We start from the raw sequence: 23,811 nt of genomic DNA on the forward strand, positions 1-23,811 counted from the left end.
AAGTATGACTCCTCCAACTTTGTTCCACGTTTTCAAAAGGTGTTTTGACCATTTTGAGTTACTTCCATTTTAGTATTAATTTTAGGGTCAGCTTGTCTGTTTCTGCACAGAAGGTATTTAGAATTTCAATAGGAATTTCAGTGAATCTATAGATCAGTTTGGAGAGTATTGCCATCTTAACAATATTAAATCTTACAATTAATGAAACCAAGTGTTTTCCCATTTTTAAAGGTCTTAAATTTCTTTCAGCAATATTTTGTAGTTTTCAGTGTACAAGTTGTGGTCCCACACATTAAGGTCCCCATACCCAGTATTGTTGACAAGTCTTTCACCTCCTTGGCTAAATTTATTCCTAAGTGTTGAATTTTTCTTTTATGCTACTGTAAATGGACTTGTTTTCTTTTTTAAGTTTTATTTTATGTTTAATTGATACACAATAATTCTATTTATTTATGGGGTACAGTGTGATGTTTCAATAGATGTATACATTGTGCAGTGATCAAATCAGGGTATTTAGCATATTATCACCTCAAACATTTATCATTTCCTTGTGGTAAGAACACTCAAAATCCTTCAACTAGTTATTTTGAAATGTATAACGCAATATTGTTAATTATAGTCATTCTACTGTTCAATAGAACAACAGAACTTGTTGCTCCTATTTAACTGTAATTTTGTACCCTTTAACTAGTCTTTCTGCCTCTCTTCCACCCCACTTTTTCCCTCTACTCTCCTCAGCCTCTGGTAACCACTATTCTAATCTGTACTTCTATGAGATCAGCTTTTTTAAGATTCCACAAATGAGTGAGATCATGTGCTGTTTGTCTTTTTGTGCCTGGCTTATTTCGCTTAGACTTGTTTTCTTAATTTTATTTTTGGATTTTTCATTGCAAGGTAGAACTACAATTGATTTTTGTTTATGATCTTGTAACCTGCAGCTGTGCTGAACTCATTTATAAGTTCTAGTAGTTTTTAGTGGATTCCTTAGAATTTTTACATTCGAGATCATGACATCCACAAATAGAGATAGTTGTACTTCTTCCTTTATAACTTAAGTGCCTTTCATTGTGTTTTCTTTTAAAATTGCCCTTGTTAGAATCTTCAGTACATTGTTGAAGTGGAGAGAGTAGACATCCTTGTCTTTTTCGTGATTTTAGAGGGAAAGCTTTTGATCATTAATTATTTATTGATATTATTATTATTATTAGAGACAGGGTCTCCCTCTGTCACCCAGGCTGGAGTACAGTGGTGCAATCTCTGCTCACTGCAGCCTCGACCTCCCGGGTTCAAGTGATCCTCCTGCCTCAGCCCCCCAAGTAGCTGAGACTACAGGCACATGCCACCTTGCCGGATAGTTTTTGTATTTTTTGTAGAGACTGGGTTTCGCCATGTTGCCCAGGCTGGTCTCAAACACCTGGACTCAAGCAACCTGCCCGCCTTGGCCTCCCAAAGTGCTAGGATTACAGGCGTGAGCCACTGTGCCTGGGCCTGATCTTTAATTATTAAGTATGGTGTTTCTGTGACTTTTTCCTAGATGCCATTATCAGGTTGAAGAAATTTCCTTCTGTTCCTAGTTTAAGGGTTTTTTTTATGAAAAGTTATCGGGCTTAATCAAAGGCTTTTTCTATATCCATTGAGATGGTCATGTGGTTTTCATTTTTTATGCTGTTAGTATAGTGTATTACACTGCTTTTCATATATTTATCCAGCTTTTTATTTCTGGAATAGATCTCAGTCATGGTGTGGAGTTCTTTTTAATACGTGTCAGAATTTGGTTTGCTTGTATTTTGTTGAGGATTATTGTGCTTATATTCATAAGGGATATTGGTCTGTAGGTTTCTTTTCTTGTAATGCCTCTGTCTGGTTTTGCTATCAGAACAATACTGGCCTCACAGAATAAGTTAGGAAGTGTTCCCTCGTCTTCCCTCCTTTTAAGGAGTTTGTGTAGAATTTAGCAGTGAAGCCGTCTTGGCCTTGGCTTTTATTTGTGGGTAGTGTTTTGATTACTAATTCAATGTCTTCACTTGTTATAGGTTTCTTTATCTTATCTATTTCTTCCTAAGTCAGATTCAGTAGTTTTTGTTTTTCTAGGAGTTTGTTTTATTTAAGTTAATCTGATTTTTTGCCATACACTTATTTATAGCATTTTTTTATAAGATTGGAAGTAATATTCCCTCTTTCATTTCTTATTCTAGTAATTTGAGTCTTCTATCCTTTTTCTTGTCATTCTGGTTAAGGGTTTGTCAATTTTGTTGATCTTTTGGAAGTACCAACTTTTATTTTCATTGATGGCTCTCTATTATTTTTCGATTCTCTATGTCATTTATTTACTCCTTGGTCTTTGTATTATTTCCTTCCTTCTGTTTGCTTTGAGTTTAGTTTTCTTTTTATAGTTAATTAAGATGAAAAGCTAGGGTCATTGTTTTAGATCTTTCTTGTTTTTCATATATTTATCCAGCTTTTTATTTCTAGAATAGATCTCAGTCATGGTGTGGAGTTCTTTTTATACGTGTCTGAATTTGGTTTGCTAGTATTTTGTTGAGGATTATTGTGTTTATATTCATAAGGGATATTGTAATATAGTTATTACAACTATAAATTTTCATCAATAAAAAATACTGCTTTCACTGCATCTCATATGTTTTGGTAGGTTGTGTTTAAGTTTTCATTAATTTCAAAGAACTCTCTCATTTCCTGTGTAGATTCTTATTTGACCTTTGGCTTATTTAGAGGTGTGTTGTTTAATTTCTACTTTTGAATTACTTTACAAAATATCTTTCTGTTACTGATTTCTAATTTAATTCCATTGTGGTTGGTGAAGATACTTTTTATTATTTCAGTCCGTTTTATGGAGACTTGTTTTATGATCTAACATATGGTCTATCTTCGATGAGAATATTTAATATGCATTTGAGAAGAATGTGTATTCATCTGTTACTGGGTTAAGTGTTCTATAGTGTCTATTAGGTGCAGTCTTCTTTTTCCTTGTTGATCTCCTGTCTGATTGTTTTTATCTGTTATTGAAAGTGGGATATTGAGGCAGCCAGAATATGTTATTGAATTGTTCATTTCTCTCTTCAGTTCTGTCAGTTTTTGGAATCTGTTGGTAGATGAATGTAAGTTTATCATAGTTATATTTTTGTGATGGATTGGCAGCTTAAAGATTGCAAAATGTTATTCTTTGTCTGTTTTACCAATATTTGTTTTAAAGTCTATTTTGTCTGCTATTAGTATAACCACTCCTACTCTTTTTTGGGTAATGTTTATATGGTATCTCTTTTTCCATTCTTTTACGTTAAACTTATTTGTGCCTTTGAATCTAAAATCATTCTCTTGAAGATAATGTATAGTTGGGCCATAACTTTTTTTGTCGATTTAACTAGTCTCTCTCTTTATTGGAGAGTTCAATCCATTCACATTTAGTGCAGTTACTCTTCAGGTAGAATTTACATGTGTGTTTTGTTATCTGTCCTCCTTATGTCTTATGTCACTTTTGTTTTTCTATTCTTACATTACTGCTTTCATTTGTCTTAAATATTTTCCACTGTGCCATTTCAATTCCCTTGTTGTTTCTTTGCTATATATTTTGGTATTTTTTTTTTAGTTCATTCTTTGGAGATTACCATTAACATCTCAATTGATGAGAATCTAGTTCAGATTTATATGAACTTACTGTCCTAGAATACAAAAGCTTTGCTTCTTTAATAGCACTGTAACCTTCTTTATGTTGTTAGTGTCACAAATTACGTCTTTTTGCACTGTGTGTCCATCAACGTAGATTTATAATTATTGTGGTAGTCATGTTTTAAGTCAGACTGGAAAACATAGGAATTGCAAATTTTAAAAAAGCAACAACTATATTTATACTGTTTTTAATATTTACCTATGTAGTTACCTTTACCAGTGTACTTTATTTCATCTTATGATTTCACGTTACTATCTAGTGTCCTTTCCTTTCAGACTGAAGGACTTCCTTTAGTATTGCTCATAGGGCATCTGCCAGCTACTTGATATCTCTTTCAGTTTTGTTTATCTGATAATGTCCCATTTTCTCCTTCACTTTTGAAGGATAGTTTTACTTCCTTTATTAGATATAGAATTCTTGATTGCAGTTTTTTTTCTTTCTGTAACTTGAATATGTCTTCCCACTGCTTTTTGGCCATGACTTCTGAGGAGAAGTCAACTGTTAAACTTCTGTTTTCTTGTTTGTGAAGAGTTGTTTTTCTCTTATTGCTCTTTGGGATTTTCTCCTTGTTTTTGGCTTTCAGTATTTTTATTATGATGTGCCTATGTGTATATACTTCTCATTTTTCCTACTTGGTGTTTGTTTGCTTTTTAGAATGTGTATGTAAACATTTTTTCATCAAATTTGTGATGCTTTCAGCTGTAATTTGTTCAAATATCTTCTTCCTCTTTTCTATTTTCTTCTCTGATTCCCATTATATGTATTTTGGTTGCTAGATGATTTCTTACAAGTTTCTGAGGCTGTGTTTATATTGTCTCTGTGTGTGTGTGTGTGTGTGTGTGTGTGTCTGTATATATATATATACACATACATATATACACGTATGTATATATACACATATATATACGTATATATACGTACATATATGTATATATACATATATATATATGCACAGACACACACAGTCTCAGAAACCTGTGTGTGTGTGTGTGTGTGTGTGTGTGTGTGTGTGTGTAAAATTTCTGTTCCTCAGACTGGATGATCTGAATTGGACTATCTTGCTGACTATTTTTTTCTATCAGTGTAAATCTGCTCTTGAGCCCCTCTAATGAATTTTTCGTATCTGTTACTTTATATTTGTAGGGGGCTTGAAGGATTTAGGGGCTTATCAAAGAAAGACATATGTCTATGAGGTGGCAGTATCACACACAAGCTTTATTGGGAGATGTGTTGACAGGCTTGCATGTTGGGGAAGTCTCTCACAGTAGGAGCCTGTCCAGAGGCCATGGCTTGGGAGTTGCTACTCTGAAGGGGAAGAGGCCATGGAATTTCCAGAGAGGGAGATTGTAGAGGGGACTTGACTTACATGTTTAGGTGATGGCTACTCAGCAGCACAGTGGGGAGTCTCTGGGTCAGAGAGAGCTCTAAAGGGCAACAATGTGTCAAAAGACAAAATTACAACAAATTTAGTTTAAAGATCTCACTTGGCCGTATTTGTGATTCTAGAATCAGGCAACACTATTCCACAAAATAGAATACTTGTTCAAATGAGCTGAGAGCAGAAGAGGTTGACTTCGTAGAGGAGAAGGGCTGAAGAAGCAAAGAACAAAGTGTATTTATTGTATGTGTAACCACTAAAGTATCTACTCAGTAGCTTAGCCATCATTGGATAAAGATTTCCTTAAATGCCTGGGACCAATAAATTGCATCATCTTTAACAAAGGGATCTGTATACATCTTGGGGCATGCAACACTTAGCCAGGCAGTTTACAACCGTACATTAGCCTTCACTTCCTGATTGCAAAGAGCCGAAAAGTCAGTTAGAAGTGAGAGTTTATGGCCTTCTCAGGTGTTTCCTGAGCATGCACACAGCCCTATACATGCAGATGGTCTTCTATATTCCCTAGAAAATATCAGAACTCTTCAAATCCCCTATTGATAGCTTATTCCTCAGCTTTTCCTTTCATTCTTTTTATTTAGTTTATTGTTTGCTCCAAGTGTTATCATTTGTGGAGGGGCTTTTAGTATGGGTTTTGCACTGAATCAAACATAAACCTTTTAAGTAGCGTCTTCTGGGGAACCAACAGACAGGACAAATAATGACAGTTCTTTAGAACTGAAGCTTTGGGAGTTGATGCCACTGCTAAACAGCTGAGCCAGCTAATGTAGTTCTTTGACAGCACAGAAATGTAGGGAGAAATGAGCAGCCCCTGGCTGAAATGCCGCAGACTCTCCTTGTTCTTACTTAGTTCTGTAGATTTTGTTGCCGTTGATCAATCCCCAGAGACTTTAGGTGATTGGCTTTGCTTGTTTTGACCAGTTTTATTAGATGTCTCTTTGGGGAGGAGATTTCACTGAGCTCCTCACATAGCCATTCCAGAATTCCCATAAGTTTGGTGTTGTATCTAAAACCTCATTGCTAAAGCCTAAGGTCATGCAAGTTTTCTGTTTTCTTCTAGAAGTTTTATAATTTTCTGTTTTATATTTAGATTCGTGATCCATTTTGAATTAATTTTCATGTGAAGTGTGAGGTTTGTGTCATAATTTTATTTTGCACATGGATTCCAGTTGTTTCAGCACCATTTTTTTTGGCAAAGATTGTCCTTCTCCATTGAATTACCTTTATGCTTATGTAAAAAAAAATCAGTTGACTAAATGAAATAAACTGATTAAAAAATAGGCAAAAGACCTGAACAAAGACACCTCACCAAAGAAAATATACAGATAATATATAAGCATGTGCAAAGATGCTCAACAGCATATGTTATTAGGAAATTGTAAGTTAAAAAAGATACCACTACACATTTATTAGAATGTTCCAAATCCAAAACACTAAGAACATCACATACTGGTGGAAAGATGAAGCGACAGGAGCTCTCATTCTTTCCTGGTGGGAATACAAAATGGTATAGCCACTTTGGAAAACAGTTTGACAGTTTCTTACAAAACTAAATGTAGTCTTACCATATGATCCAGCGATTGCGTTCCTTGATATTTACTCAAATGGGTTGAAAACTTATGTCTACACAAAACTCTGCACATAAATGTTTATAGTAGCTTTATTCCTAATTGCCAAAATGTAGAAACAATCAAGATGTCCTTTAGTAGGTGAATGGATAAATTGTAGTGCGTCCAGACGATGGAGTTTAGTGCCAAAAAAGGGCTATGAAAAGCCTTTTCAAGCCATGAAAAGATATGGTGGAATCATATGTGCATATTACTGAGTTTTAAAATAAGCCAGTCTGAAAAGGCTGCATATCCCAGCTACTCAGAGGCTGAGGTGGGAGGATGGCTTTAGCCTGGGAGGCAGAGGTTGCAGTGAGCTGAGATTGCACAGCACCCCAGCCTGGACAACAGAGCGAGTCCCTGTCTCAAAAAAACAAAGAAAAAAAAAAGAAAGAAAAGGCTACATACTGTATGATTCCAAGTATTTGACATTCTGGAAAAGGCAAAACTATGGAGACAGTAAAAAGATCAGTGGCTTCCAGGGTTTGGGGGTTGGGAATGGATGAATAGACGGAGCACATGGGATTTTTAGGGCAGTGAATCTACTCTGTATGGTACTATAATAGTGGATACATGTGTTTATACATTTGTGAAAACCTATAGAATGTACAACACTGAGAGTAAACCCCAATGTAAACTATGAACTTTAGGTGAGAACGATATGTCAATATAGGTCCATCAATTATAACAAATATACATACCCTTCTGGTGGGAGATTTTCATAGTGAGGGTGGTTGTGCATATACGGGAGCAGAGAGTATGTGAGGAATCTCTACCTTGGACTCAGTTTTTATGTGAACCTAAAGCTTATCTAAAAACTAAAGTCAATTTTTTAAAAGTCAACTGAAAAAAAGAAATGCTTCTCTCTCCCACACCTTGCCCCAATCCTCAGGCAATAATAAATGGTTTTGCGGTATCAAAAAAAATCTGTGATTGTATTTGTGTGGATCTATTTATGGCCTCCCTATTCTGTTCTGTTGATCTATGTGTCATTTCTTTTGCTAATACTATGGCACCTTGATTACTATAGACTTACACTGCGACTTGAAATCGGATAACATGAGTCCTCTAACTTGGTTTTCCTTTTTCAGAGTTGTGATAGCTGTTAGGTCATTTGCCTTTTCATGTATATTTTTTAGATTCAGTTTAGCTATGTCTACAAAATGCTTGCTAAAATTTTGATTGGAATTGTGTTTATATGGCTTTAATTGAGCATTTTATCTCTCTCTTTGCATATCATTTATACTTGTTTTTCTTAACTTTTTAGTGGTTACCCTAGTTTTCACAGTACACATTTTTAATCTAAGTCTTTCAAATACTATTGTATTGCTTCCTGTGTAGTGTAGGTACCTTATAAGAGTTATCCCCCGTTTCTCCCTTGCTTTCTTTTTGACATTGCTGTCATCCCTTTCACTTACTTATATGCTACAGTCATTTCATACATTGTAGTGTTTTTACTTTATACACAGTTACCTCCTAGATTGATTAAGAAAAATAAAAAGTTTTATATTACTTATATTTATTTTTCTCTGACTTTCTTTATGAAGATTCAAGTTTCTGACATGTTGTTTTTTTTTTGTGCCTGGAGAACTTCTTTTGACATTTCTTGCAGGACATGTCAGCTTATGGTATCCAGCAGTTTCTCTACCATGTAAACAAATCATAAGTGCTAGATCTTCCTGTCTCTCCAAATGTTCAAGTGGTGATTTCCCATGTGGCCTCAGTTCTCTGATGATTTTTAAAAAGTTATTGATTTTCATTTTGTCTAGCTTTTCGGTCTTGTAAGGGCAGGAGTGACATCTTCCCAGTTCTTTACAATTTGGAGCTACAATTAGAGGTGCTCACATATGTATTTTTAAATTTTTCTTGTGGATATGTTGCCAAAAACAGTAAAAAGAAAACAGGTGAAATTAATTTTAATAAAGTATTTTATTAAACCCAAACAACAAAAATAACATTTTAACATGTAGTCTGTATAAAAATACTTAAGAGCTATTCCACATTAAAAAAAAAACTCTTCTAAATATCATATGGATTTTTTCTACTTGTATCACATCTCACTTTGAACTATTGCATTTCACGTTATCAGTAACCCAATGCGGTTTGTGGCTATTGCATTGGGCAGCACATGTCCAAAGAGAATATGTAGAAAGAGAAGGAAGGAGAGTTGAGGATGAACTTTTGGGGATACAGTTAGGTATTAAGCAGAGGAAGAGAGGCCTAAAGACAGAGAAAGAAAAGTCAGAGAAAAATTGAAGACAGCAAAAGTATAACTGAAACAAAGGGAAGAATATGTTTCAAGGAAAAATAAGTATTCAAATAGTGTCAAATGTGGCGAGGAGCTCAGGGTAGATATGGAGTAGATATGGGAATTGACAAATGGAAAAGAATAGAGAATACAGAAATAGACCAGTGTGTTTGTGTATGTGTGTGTGTGTGTGTGTATATGTATATATATGTGAAATTAGTAAATGAAAGAGGTGTCAACATAAATTAATAGAGCAGAGTATATCATTCAATACATGGTGATGGGACAATTGATTATCCATATAGAATAAAATAAAATACCAACACCAAAAACAAACCATTAATTTTTTATAGATTATAAACCCAATTATGAAAAGCAAAACTTTAATTTTTAAAAAAAAAAATTAGGGGACTGTTTATTATCTCAGGGAAGGGAAGGGTTGTTGAAACAGAATGTATAAAGAATGCCTATAAATCAATGATAAACCATCCAATCCGAAAAATGGGCAAAGTTATGAACAGGTAATTTATAAAAAAGGAAATACAGAAGTCCAATAAATACATTGAAATGTGGTCAATTGCACTAATAACAAGGACAAGGGACTGAAAATCAAAATAATGAAATGTCACTTTTAACATATCAGGTAAAAATTTTATTGTTTGACAATACCTGGTATTGGCGTGGTTGTAGGGAAACAGTAGTCTTCATATATGGCTGATGTGGGTGGAAAGAAATACAATCACATTCAAATGAAATTAATTGTCAAGGATCTAGTAAAATTGTAGATGGGCATTTCCTTCTGTTGCAACATTTCCAATTCTAGGAGACATGGAAGAAAACATTGCGGTATTACGTGATATTGTGAAAAACTGGAAATAAACTAAATTCCCCAACTGTTCCAAATTAATAGGGGAATGATCAATAACTCATCAGTCATCATCTATTCATACAGTGCAATTTAATATGGCAGTGAAAATGAAGAAATCACATCAATATATATCAGTGTCATCTTAAAAACATAATGCTGATTGAGAAAAGTGAGTTACAGAACAATCACATAATATACCATTTATATAAACTTAAAACATACAAAAATACTATATATTGCTCATAGATACAGATGTGTTTGAAAATGTATGTATAAAGAAGGAATAGAAATGATGCACACCATATCAAATTTGGTTGCCTCTGGGGAGAGGAAAGGATAATGGCTAGGGGTGGGTTTAAAGAGTACTTCATCTTTATCTAGAATGTTTAGTTTATTTCATAAAATAGATGAAGCAAGTGTGACTACATTTTTAAAAATGTTAGCAATTGTTAATTCTGGGTGGATATTCTATATTATTCTATATTTTTGAGATATTTCCAAAATAACACCAATACCAATTAAAGTTTATAGGAGATGAGGAAAGAGGAAAAAAAAAAAAGGTAGTACCTGGAGAAAGATGCAGAAATCTGGAGGAGAAATTACTTTCAAGGTGGTAAAAACTCAAATAGATTTAACTACTGGTGGGAAGGAGCCTAGGGAGAGGGAGTGGTTCAAAGTACAGGTGTAAGGAGAGATGATTAAAGTACCAGGACCCAGCTTGTGAGGAGTGAAGCACAGCCATTTTCCCCAACTGATCTATCATGTATTTGTCACCTAAGGCAAAAATGTATTTCTTAACTGATACAGCTATTTGTAATAAGGTTTCATATGCTGTCTCCTTTGTGTTTTATATATTTATTTATTTATTTACTGAGACAGAGTCTCACTCTGTCACCAGGCTGGAGTGCAGTGGCACGATCTCAGCTCACTACAACCTCTGCTTCCCTGGTTCAAGAGATTCTCCTGCCTCAGCTTCCCAAGTAGCCGGGACTACAGGCGCGTGCCACCACGCCCAGCTAATTTTTGTATTTTTAGTAGAGACAGGGTTTCACCATGTTGGCCAGGGTCTTGATCTCTTGACCTCATGATCCACCTTCCTCGGCCTTCCAAAGTGCTGGGATTACAGGCGTGAGCCACTGCACCCGGCCTTCTTGGTGTTTTATATATGATAACTACATATCAAGCAACTGTTATTCCCAATCTTGACTTGAAAAAGTAACAAAATGTTCCTAACAAAGTTACACTGAGATGCAAGTACAGTGTTTTCTGACATAGCTCTTGCAAAAAATATTGGCAATAAATGTATTTAAAAATAATTTTAGGCTGGAGGCAGTGGCTTAAGCCTATAATCCCAGCACTTGGGGAGGCCAAGGCAGGTGGATTACCTGAGCCCAGGAGTTCAAGACCAGCCTGGGCAACACAGGGAGACCCCATCTCTACAAAAAAATAAAAGAATTAGTCAGGCATGGTGGTGTGCACCTGTGGTCCTAGCTACTCAGGAGGCTGAGGTGGGAGGATCACTTGAGCCCAGGAAGTGAAGGCTGCAGTGAGCTGTGATCTCACCACTGGACTCCAGCCTGGGCGACAGAGTCAGTTGCTGCCTCAGAAATTAAATTAAATTATAAATAAATAAATACATAATAATTTTAATGATTAAGAAAATTTCAGGAATTAGTAAGTTCCCAATATTGTTGTTTGGGCATTGGAAGCAATGTACTATGAATCTTTAAATTTTCCAAATACAGAGTTTCCAAAAGATAAATGGACATCCTCACTGGGCTCTATGGGTAACTTCCTTTTCATCTTCTCCCACTTTGCAGGCTAAACAGGCACTCTGCACTTTTTTCCTTTTTAAAGAAATTATTTTTATTTCTAATTATTATGGCTATATAATAGTTGTATATATTTATGGCATACATGGGATGTTTTGATACAAGCATATAATGTGTCATGATGAAGTTAGTGTTTATCATTTGTGTTAGGAACATTCCAATTCCACTCTGTTAGTTATTTTATTTTTATTTTATTATTCTTACTTTTTTGAAAGAAGATCTCACTCTGTCACCCAGGCTGGAGTGCAGTGGTGCGCAGGCGGTTCACTGCAGCTCCGCCTTCCGGGCTCAGGTTCCTCCCACCTCAGCCTCCTGAGTAGCTGGGACTATAGGCGCGCACCACCACACCTGGCTAATTTTTGTATTTTTAGTAGGGATGGGGTTTCACCATGTTGCCCAGGCTGGTCTCGAACTCCTACGCTCAAGGGATCTGCCCACCTTGGCCTCCCAAAGTCCTGGGATTACAGGCATGAGCCACTGCACTCGATCTCCTTTAGTTATTTTTAAATATGCGATAAATTATTGTTAACTATAGTCACCCTATTGTGCTACTGAATACTAGATCTTATTCATTCTATCTAACTGTATTTTTGTACCCATTAACCACTCCCACTTTATCTCTCCCTCTCTGCTACTCTTAGCCTCTGGTAACCATCATTCTACTCTCTCCATGAGTTCAGTTTTTTTTTTAGCTTCCACATATGAATGCAAACATGTGATATTTATCTTTTTGACTCCACTTCTTTTTTCCCATCCAGGCTCCATGGAGGGGAAAGAGAAGGGAAAAGGTAGACAAGAAAGATTGGAAACTTGGTCTTGACCCTGCTACTCACGAGCCTTAATGTGTCTTCTTACCTCTTCTTTTCCTCACCTGCCAAAACCTCTGCAGCCCTACTTCTGCATGCCTCCCCACCTTCACTCTTCAGGAATTACTAGGAAGTTCTACTCATACTGGGAGTCAAATGGGATATCAAGGAGATAGGTAGGAGAATCAGCAGTACTACCAGGGATATAGCACTGGAAGATAGGTTCTTAGCATCTCAGTGTTAGCCCCCTTTTATTAATTTCTCATAAAAGCACATTGTTTTATTAGTGGTCTTTATCTACAATAGTATTGGAAAATTTCAGCACCAACATAGGTCAAGCAATCTTATGTAGTCCAACGTAAGTACCTAACTACCATTTATGGCATTTTCTTTTTTTAAATGGAAAACTGTTTTGTAATGCAATTTTCTTATAAATGGTAGTTTGGGGCTACATTTAATTCATGAAAGTTAGTAAGAAAGTAGAAGAAGAATAAAAGTTTGAGTTGACAAATCCCATATGTGAATCCTTTGAAATGTTTATTAAACTAAAGCATTATATTGTGGTTAGATTTCAGGAGGTAAAAAGTGGTAGAAATTACTTTATTTAGTTTTTTTTTTTTCTACAGGAATAAGGTAGTGGAATTGCTCTCTGATACCCTAAGTCAGTCAACCAGTCTCTCCCACCCCACACACATACATTTAGTTTTTTCTATATTTCTCAAATGTGAGGTACCTTTAATTTCTTAAAAAATCTTAGTAAGTGTGCTGTTGCTGAATCAATTTTTTTTACATTAAGTACTACAGGGTTTCATCTGTCATTACTTTTTGTGCTAATCATTTTGTAACTTTTATCTGAATAATTCAATACTTGTAACTAAATTATGTTTGAAGATTCTTAATCTATATAGGATAAAACTTGTTTTATTACATTTCATTTATTAGTGTTACTCATATTAGTAAAGTGTCTACTTTTTCTCTATGGTTGTCAGAAGCTGGAGAACACCAAGTAATTTAAGATTTATTTGATTTGAGACTTTACCATCGTCAGGATATTTAAAGATATTTAACTAGGGACAGTATATGTGTTAAAAGCTGACTTCTACTTTATAAAATCACGAAATATTAAAATATGCAGAAAAGTGTAAATAATAAAACAATGAACACTTTTGCATTTATTGCCTAACTCAATACATTTAGAAAATCGCAATGCAATTGAAGCCCCCTGTATGAACCCCCAATCACATCCTACTCCTTTCCCTCTACATGTTGCCATTATCTTCAATTCAGTATTTATCATTCCTCTGCATGTCTTTTGATTTTCCTACTTATATAAATATCACTTGAAATATATGAAATTATTTTGCTTTTTTGAACATTATATGGTAGAAATATATGCATTCTTCTACAAACTTGCTTTTTTATTGTTCATCATGGTATTTGTAAGACTCATTGATGAATGTAAAACTCATGCATCTATTTATAATCCCGTATAAAATCATAATTAAAAGTCTCACTCCATTTTTTAATGTTTGACTGCTGACAGCTTTGAAGTCTTATCTCTCCCTCTTCTCCCTCTGTCCCACATCTGGGCAAGATAAGAAAGCCAAGATGCTGCATTCCTTACCACCAGTGTAAAGTTCAAACCACAGGTGAGAATCCTCATTCCAGCCCCACCCCTAACCACCATAAAAACCCAAGCCAATCTTCTGTCCTTGCTCTATCAAGCCATTTTTGGATGTGTCTGAGAGCCACCCCTGCTCTCTGCAGAAAGCCTCATTATGTGAGTAATCAGCTTTTTTATGAATATTGGTGTGTGTTTGTTTGGTATCATTGGTGTTGACATTTAAACCAAATTTTGAACTGGAGTCCATCCTGTCCTTGTGGAGTATTCAAAAAATTATTTCAGTGTTCTTTTGTTAATGGATATTAGGTTGTTTCCTTTTTTTTATAGTTGAAAACACTGTTTCTATGGATACTTTTTATTTTTTCTTATTGATTTGTAGAAGTTACATTTATATTCTGGATATGGATTCCTTGTTAGTGTTGCAAATATCTGCTCTCAGTCCGTAGTTAGTCTTTTTACCTTAATGGTTTCTTTTGTAGTACAGAGGTGATGAATTTTGATATAAATTTTGATCAAATCTACCAGTCTATTTATGATTGATCTTTGTATCTTTAAGAAATATTTCTCTGATTTGGAGACTATAAAAATGCTCTTCTAAATGTTCTAAAACCTTTAAAGTTGATTTTTCCCATTTAGGACTTTGATCTATTTATTTTTTGTTGTATAAATTATTTCCTTTCTTGTAATGTCTGTCTGGTTTTCGTATCAGGATCATGCTGGCCTCATAGAATGAGTTAGGAAGTATTTGCTATTCTTGAATTTTCTGGAAAAGTTTGTGTAGAACTGGTATTATTTCTTTTTTAAATGTTGGTAGAATTTGCTTGTGAAGTCGTCTGACTCTTTAAAATTTCGTTGTGGGAAGGTTATACAGATGCTCCTTGATTTACAATGGTGTTAAATCCCAATAAAGCTGTTTAAGTTGAAAATACTGTAAGTTGAAAGTGCATTTAATACACTTATCCTAGCAAACATTGTAGCTTAGCTTAGCCTACCTTAAACATGCTTAGAACACTTAATATTAGCCTACAGTTCGGCAAAATCATCTAACACGGAGCTTCTTTTATAATAAATTACATGAATATCTCATGTAATTTATTGAATACTGTGCTGAAAGTGAAAAGCAGAATGGTTGTATTGGTACTCAAAGTATATTTTTTATGGAATGTATATTGCTTTTGTGTCATCGTAAAGTTGAAAGATCATAAGTTGAACCATCATAAGTTGGGAATTGTCTGTACTACTAATTTAGTTTCTTTGTTCCTTTGTTACTAATGTGTCTTTTTGTTTTTCCTGGATTGTTTCCAGAGTTTTTAAAAAAATCTCTTAATCAGATTGATTGTGATGAGCCTTGTAGTTTCCTTCATGTTTCTTTTGCACCAAATTTGTTGATATTTTTTGATTTGGAAGTTAAAATTATCGCTAAAATAATGGCAAAACCCACAATTAATAGTAACATTTGAAGAAACAGTGGCTAAGAATTTTAGCTGCCTTCCTCTCCCGGGACTCTGAGCTTCATCTCCTTACCTCAGGGGATCTGCCAGGTGAAAAGTATTAATACTTCTCTCATCCGCTTTGGGGACTTTACCTGTGTATTAAGTTGCTTGCCATTGTTCAACAGTCCACTGATATTTTTCATACTTCAAAAAAATTCTTTTCTGTTTCATTTTGGATGATTTTTATTTCCATTTTTTCAAATTCTTTAATCTTTCCTTTTCCATAGTTTAATATGTCATTTATCCAATTTGTCGTATTTTTAAGCTCAGATATTATTATTTACATCTCTAAAATTTTAATTTGGGCGTCTTTGTTACAGTTTTCCATGCCTCTACTTAACTTTGTAAATGAATAGATTATGTCATAACTTTTTAAATGTCCTTGTCTGGTAACTCTAACATCTGCATCAATTCTTGGTTGGTTTCAATTTATTGATTTTTTTTTTTTTTTATTTTGTAATTTCAAGCTTCTTTGCATTGCTGGTGATGTTTGTTTACATTCAAGCCTTGTGGATTTTACCTTGTTGGATGCTAGATATTTTTATATAACTAAAAATTTCTTGAGCTTTATTCTGGAATGTGATAAAACTACATGGAAACAGTTTGATCCTTTTATGTCTTGCTTTTAAGATTGATTAGGTGGAACCAGGGTGGTGCTCAGTCTACGGAAAATTATTCCTTGCTGGCTGTTGGTAACAGGTGCTGTTCCTGTCTCAGTGTAAGTGATGAAAACTGTTCTTTCTAGTGATTTCAAATGGTTCTTTCCCCTGCCTTGGGTAGTTGCCTCTGTATACACTAATGTGTACTCTGTTTTTTTTTTTTTTGAGATGGAGTCTCGCTCTGTCTCCCAGGCTGGAGTGCAGTGGCACGATCTCAGCTCACTGCAACCTCTGCCTCCCGGGTTTTACGCCATTCTCCTGCCTCAGCCTCCCGAGTAGCTGGGACTACAGGCATGCACCACCTACGCCCGGCTAGTTTTTTTTGTATTTTTAGTAGAGATGGGGGTTTCACCATGTTAGCCAGGATGGTCTCGAACTCCTGATCTTGTGATCCGCCCGCCTCGGCCTCCCAAAGTGCTGGGATTACAAGTATGAGCCACCGCGCCTGGCAATGTATACGCTGTTGAATACTCAATGGAGCCTTTGCAGATCTCAGGAGTTCTTTTTCTGCACTGTTTCCCCATTCTGCTAACTATTACCTGCAGATTTTAGCTGCCTTCTTCTCACTGGACTCTGAGCTTTGTCTCCTTACCTCAGGGGATCTGCCAGGTTCTGACTCAGTTATTACCCTTGCCTGTGGCATGATCTGAAAATTCTCTCAGGGAAGTACGCTGGGGCATTTATAGGGTCACCTTGTTTCTTTACCATTTCTCAAGGATTATTGGCCCTCACTACCTGATATCTATTGTTGTGAGAATAATTTGCTTTTTAATTTTTCAACAAGTTGGGTAAATGGTCCCTGTTATTCCATCTTGCCCAGAAGTGCAAGTTCAGCTGAGAGTTTAAAAAGTGTTAAGATTCTCATAAGTTTTTTATGTAGGGAATCTTATCAACTCTAAATATTAACAATTCCCTTTATTCATTTCTAATCCTTACTCTCTTCTGCTTTCTCCTTTTCCTTCTTCCTCTTACTTCCTCCCACACCTCTGGATAGGGCCTTCAGTATAATGAATGAAAGGGATGATAGCAGTGATTCCTGACTCCCATTATTAAAGGGGGAACACATTTCTAATGTCATTATTTGTTTTTTACAATGAAGCCTTTGTGCTCTTCTTTCACATCAGTTTACAAGTGCTGTTTGACAAGAATTTCCTGTAAGCCCTTAAGTTATTGAGTAACAGTTTAGTGCTTAAGTTAACTGTCAAACAACATTTATTATATGCCATCTTTCAAAGTACTTACCTATATTAACGCATGAGAGGCCCAAAACAAACATAAGAGGTAGGTACTGTTATTATCCCCACTTCACATATGAGAGACGGTGAGGTTAAATACATTTCCTAAGGTTGCACATAATAAATGGTGAAGCTGAGATTCGAGTCTAAGAAACCTGGCACTAGAGCCCAGGCTGCTTCTGCACTGTATTTCTCTGCTCTTAACTAATATGAGAGTATTAAATGCAATTGTCAGTTGGTTCATTTAAATGACCACAAAGACATTTCTAGCACTTAGTGTTCACATTTCAATTATTTATGCCAGCCAAGTAACCACTATCAACAAAAGTTACAAACAGTAGATATTTCACTATAGGAAAAGATGGGAGTAAAATTGTAGCCCTCTTAGCAGGTTGGTTTTGAGGAATTTAACTTACTAGATTCAAGTTACGTGATTCCTGCTATCCCATGAGTTTTGTTGGCTGCAGGCCAGGGATTGGCTGTTTACTACTTTCCGCTGTCTCAGTGCTGTAATACCCTGGCCTAATGGCTCTAATTAACTCCATATATTTGTTCCAGAAAGATGAAGAGGTTCTGTATAGTTAAGAATCAATAAAATACAAATTGTTGCTTAGGAAACCCCGTGTACTCTTAGTGTCAGTAATTAACTTTTTTTCTGGAGAAGTTTAAGAAACAGGCCCAAGCCATTCAATAGCCATTTGTGAAGCTGATATTTAAAGAAATGTAGATGCTGCATTAGAATCTTTAGGCATCTACACCAAGAATGCAGTGATTCCATCACAAAAATTTCTTTTCTTTCCTATTGGCAGATTATAGGAATAAAGTATTTCTGATTTAACTAACTCAGGTACCAGGGAATATTTGGGCAAATTAGTACATCTCTTGTTTTGTTTTTTAAAATTTTTTCATAAAATCCAGATCCTGCACAATAATAAATCTCTTAATTTATTAGTAGCTGCTTTCTTAAAAGGATTTATGAACATAACTTTCTGCTTTACTAATACAGAGCTGAAGCAGACTTAGGACCGATGAGAAGAATGTAAACTAAAAATCATGTCTTTATGAAAATAGGAATTTCTTCCTAAGATCTGGGTGAGGTTTCTCAGTGGCATACATTGACCTCAGTGGTCAGGATACAAAACTCACACAGACGATAAAGCTGACGAAGTGGAGGAAATTGGCTTGCAAACACTTGGAGAAATCACTTCAAAGTAAAACCACTTTCAAATTGCTTTTTTTTTCTGACTATGGAATAGTGTTTAGCATGTTTCAGCAAAAGTCTGCACAACAATACACTAGATATAAATTTTAAAAGACAAATAGCATCACAGAGCGACACTCAGGGAGAGATCTATTTCTGTAGAGTATAAGTGGCTTAAGAACCTAAATGTGGATATTTTAAAATTAAAAAAATCAAACCTCTTCCACTTTGGAGATTATTTATGTGAAGGTTTCTTATGGCCATTCCTCTGCCAGAGCTCTCTAGAAGAGCAGAGTGTTTCTTAATTTTATTCCAGTCAGATTCACTACTATTCGAACATTTATCCCAAATACTTATACTCTCAATACTTAAATTTATCTCAATCTATCAAGTCTCACTGCTTCTCCTTTTCTTTTTATTCTCCACATATTTAAAGTTACTAGTGTGTCCACATTAGCAGAATTCCTTGTGTCCAGGAAGATGTGTCTTCTGTGTACTAAAAAGCAATATCCTCCTGTCCTATGTGTACAGAAATGGATCCAGGCAGAAACCTTTGAGTAGTCAACTGCATGAGCAGCTTCAGATCCATGACAAGTCCTTCCCTTCCTGTTCCATACCTGCTCTTTTGTTCTAAGAGAAAACTGTTTTATAAGAAAATATGTATGCTTCTGTCTCTATTATTATATAAAATTCAGCCTTCCTCCATTTCTGCCAGAAAAAAATATGTTCTTTAAGCTTGCATTTTTTTCTATAATCTTAATAAAATTTTAGAACTTAGCCTTAAAAATTCAAGGCTCATAATTGACAAAATGAGTCTTCATGCCTATAGCTGCAAAGGGATACATGCCATCTTGTATTATAAAACCAATTCCATGAATCTTATTTGATATAGAAATCAATATGTCTGCAAATATTTTTATCTGGTTTTCTTTTGCTGCATGGAGATTTGTGTGAATATACAGAACTGTTACCAACCTGTGGTCTTCTTGGTTAATAGAAATCTGTCCTTCAAATTTTTCATGTCAACAAATGGAGTCCTGTAAGACAATGGTTCTCAAAATGTGGTCCAGGGAGCCCTGGGTGTCCATGTGACCCTTTCAAGGCCTTTTCAAGATTGAAACTATTTTCAATAACGCTAATACATTCGCTTTCAAAATTTCATTATCTTGCAGTGTTACAGTGGATTTTAAAAAGAGACTTTCTGTTGTGAGATATCATAACAGATTGGGTGAGGAATCAGATATGAGAATTTAGTTGTCAGCTATTAAGTCAAACATTAAAGAGATTTGCAGAATTGTAAATCAGTGCCACTCTTCCCACTATTTGTTTTATTTTGGAAAATACAGTTATTCTTCATAAGATAGGTTATTTATATTAACATGTAATGAGTTTTGTTATTATTTAAAAGTAAGTGAATAAATATTTAAATTTCTAATACACTAAATATGGATAGATAGAACCCACATGAACCAAGGCCTTTTGGGGTCCTCAAAAAAATTTTTTCGGAGTATAAAAGGCTCTGCAAAACAAAAAGTTTGAGAACCGCTGCTCAAGATTCCAAAGACTTTTTTTTTTAAATTTTATTATTATTATATTTTAAGTTTTAGGGTACATGTGCACAACGTGTAGATTAGTTACATATGTATACATGTGCCATGTTGGTGTGCTGCACCCATTAACTCGTCATTTAGCATTAGGTATATCTCCTAATGCTATCCCTCCCCCCTTCCCCCACCCCACAACGGTCCCCAGAGTGTGATGTTCCCCTTCCTGTGTCCATGTGTTCTCATTGTTCAATTCCCACCTATGAGTGAGAACATGTGGTGTTTGGTTTTTTGTCCTTGCGATAGTTTACTGAGAATGATGATTTCCAATTTCATCCATGTCCCTACAAAGGACATGAGCTCATCATTTTTTATGGCTGCATAGTATTCCATGGTGTATATGTGCCACATTTTCTTAATCCAGTCTATCATTGTTGGACATTTGGGTTGGTTCCAAGTCTTTGCTATTGTGAATAGTGCTGCAATAAACATACATGTGCATGTGTCTTTATAGCAGCATGATTTATAGTCCTTTGAGTATATACCCAGTAATGGGATGGCTGGGTCAAATGGTATTTCTAGTTCTAGATCCCTGAGGAATTGCCACACTGACTTCCACAATGGTTGAACTAGTTTACAGTGCCACCAACAGTGTAAAAGTGTTCCTATTTCTCCACATCCTCTCCAGCACCTGTTGTTTCCTGACTTTTTAATGATCGCCATTCTAACTGGTGTGAGATGGTATCTCATTGTGGTTTTGATTTGCATTTCTCTGATGGCCAGTGATGATGAGCATTTCTTCATGTGTGTTTTGGCTGCATAAATGTCTTCTTTTGAGAAGTGTCTGTTCATATCCTTCGCCCACTTTTTGATGGGGTTGTTTGTTTTTTTCTTGTAAATTTGTTTGAGTTCATTGTAGATTCTGGATATTAGCCCTTTGTCAGATGAGTAGGTTGCAAAAATTTTCTCCCATTCTGTAGGGTGCCTGTTCACTCTGATGGTGGTTTCTTTTGCTGTGCAGAAGCTCTTTAGTTTAATTAGATCCCATTTGTCAATTTTGGCTTTTGTTGCCATTGCTTTTGGTGTTTTAGACATGAAGTCCTTGCCCATGCCTATGTCCTGAATGGTATTGCCTAAGTTTTCTTCTAGGGTTTTTATGGTTTTAGGTCTAACATGTAAGTCTTTAATCCATCTTGAATTAGTTTTTGTATAAGGTGTAAGGAAGGGATCCAGTTTCAGCTTTCTACATATGGCTAGCCAGTTTTCCCAGCACCATTTATTAAATAGGGAATCCTTTCCCCATTGCTTGTTTTTGTCAGGTTTGTCAAAGATCAGATAGTTGTAGATATGTGGCATTATTTCTGAGGGCTCTGTTCTGTTCCATTGGTCTATATCTCTGTTTTGGTACCAGTACCGTGCTGTTTTGGTTACTGTAGCCTTGTAGTATAGTTTAAAGTCAGGTAGCGTGATGCCTCCAGCTTTATTCTTTTGGCTTAGGATTGAATTGGCAATGCGGGCTCTTTTTTGGTTCCATATGAACTTGAAAGTAGTTTTTTCCAATTCTGTGAAGAAAGTCAAGATTCCAAAGACTTTAGAAACTGTTGCCATGTCCTCTGAGAAAAGCTTCAGAAGAAAAACCTATAGTTCTCATTGGTTGTCTTAATTGATGATTTGTTACCCTAGTAATAATGTTGTAATGAACTTACATGTATTCTCAAACAGTGCAGATACTTTTGGTGTTTTCTTCTCTACCTCATTCATGGAGGAGCAAATAAAAACTTACAAGCCTGTTAGTTTTGTAATATATTTGAAGAGCCTTTGTTTATTTAGTTTAACACTGTACTATGTGACACATTAATAGAAGAGTTTCCGGTTTGTTGGTGAGGTAGTCAGTTTTTAGTAGTAGGAAAAGCTTTATTTTCAACATTGTGATTTGGGGACTTTGTTGTTTGAATGCTTTGGTTTGCTCCACTTTCTCATGTCTTTTTTCTCACCTTCTACATGTAGTATACTTGCTATAGCTTTAAGTTCCAATTGCATATCTTCTTTATGTAAAATGATATAATCTTGAGTCCTGCTAAGTTAGGTGGGCCAAGGGAGAAAAGGCAATGAGCAGAGGCCCCAAAATGTTAATGGTGTTCCTATGAGATGAGGTCAGGCTATCAGAAGCTCATACAGCTGTAGACACTTTAAAGACATCACTTCTCTTTATTCTTAGTGGATTTTATATTTTGAGTATGATTTGACGTTCTTTTAATGTGCCAACAATATTAGATACCACTTTATTAATTAATTATTTATAAGATGGGGTATCACTCTGACACCCAGGCTGGGGTGCAGTGGAGTGGTCTTGGCTCACTGCATCCTCCACCTCCGAGGCTCAAGCGATCCTCCCACCTCAACTCCCTGAGTAGCTGGGACCACAGGTGCGCACCACCATGGCTGGCTAATTTTTTTTTTTTTTTTATGTTTGGTAAAAATGGGGTTTCACCATGTTGCCCAGGCTGGTCTCTAACTCCTGAGTTCAAGTGATCCACCCGCCTCAGCCTCCCAGAGTTCTGGGATTATAGGCATGTGCCACTACACCCAGCTAGGTGTCACATTATTAAACATGCTTGAAGTAATAACTTCTGGCCTTATAAAGAGTTTTTATAAGTCTCCTTTTGAGGGCTTTATTTTCTTGGAGAAGGCTTTGTTGCCAATGTTTGTTGTCAATTGAACACATTAACTGTTGCTTCTCCTTTCTTAGACATGAGCCAGGGTGTGACTTCTCATTCTGCCCCTTTCCAGGTTCCCAGATTGTTTTTGTGGTAAGCTCAATAATGTCCCCTAAAGGTGTTCACATTCTGAACCCCAGAACTTGTCAGTATGTTAATTTACATGTTACAAGGGACTTGCAGATATGATTAAGACTTTGAAATGAGGGGATTATCCTGGATTATTAGGATGGGCCCAATGTGATACAAGGGTCCTTATAAGATGGAGACAGGGGAATTAGAGTTATAGAGTGAAGATGTAAGACTGACAAGTGGTCAGAGAGGAGAGAAGATGCTATCTTGATGGCTTTGAAGATGGAGGAAGGGACTGTGATCCCAGGAATGGAAACAGCCTCTAGAAAATGGAAAGGACCAGTAAATAGCATCTCACCTAGAGCCTCCAGAAGAAACGAACCTCACTAACAGCTTAATTTTAAACCAGGGAAGTAAATTTTTAGACTTTTTACCTCCAGAATTATAAGATGATAAATTCATATTGTTTTAGCTACTAAGTTTTTGGTAATTTTTTTATATTAGCAGTAAGAAACCAACACAGATTTTGGTACCTGGAAGTAGAGTGCTGCTGTACCAAGCACCTAAAAATGTGGAAGTGGCTTTGGAATTGGGTAATGGTTGAGAATGGAAAAATTTTGAGAATACGTGGAAGAATTTTGAGAATGATTGAGGATGGAGAATTTTGAGAAGTGTGATAGAAAAAGCCTATATTTCTTTGAATTCTTTGAATTGTTAGTAGAAACATAGATGTTAAACATTCTAATAGTGAGGGCCCAGAAGGAAGTGAGGCACATATCAGAGAAAACCTATATTATCCTAAAGAAAATCTGTATCAGCTT

General features: G+C 35.7%; 1 protein-coding gene across 4 annotated transcripts in view; it reads left to right on the forward strand.

Moving 5' to 3' along the window:
* Positions 1-23,811, forward strand: part of MAGED1 (MAGE family member D1) — a 99,279-nt gene that overhangs the window by 17,126 nt on the left and 58,342 nt on the right. The window lies entirely within an intron of this gene.

Source organism: Homo sapiens, chromosome X (genome assembly GCF_000001405.40).
Source record: "Homo sapiens chromosome X, GRCh38.p14 Primary Assembly".
Taxonomy (NCBI): Eukaryota; Metazoa; Chordata; class Mammalia; order Primates; family Hominidae; genus Homo; species Homo sapiens.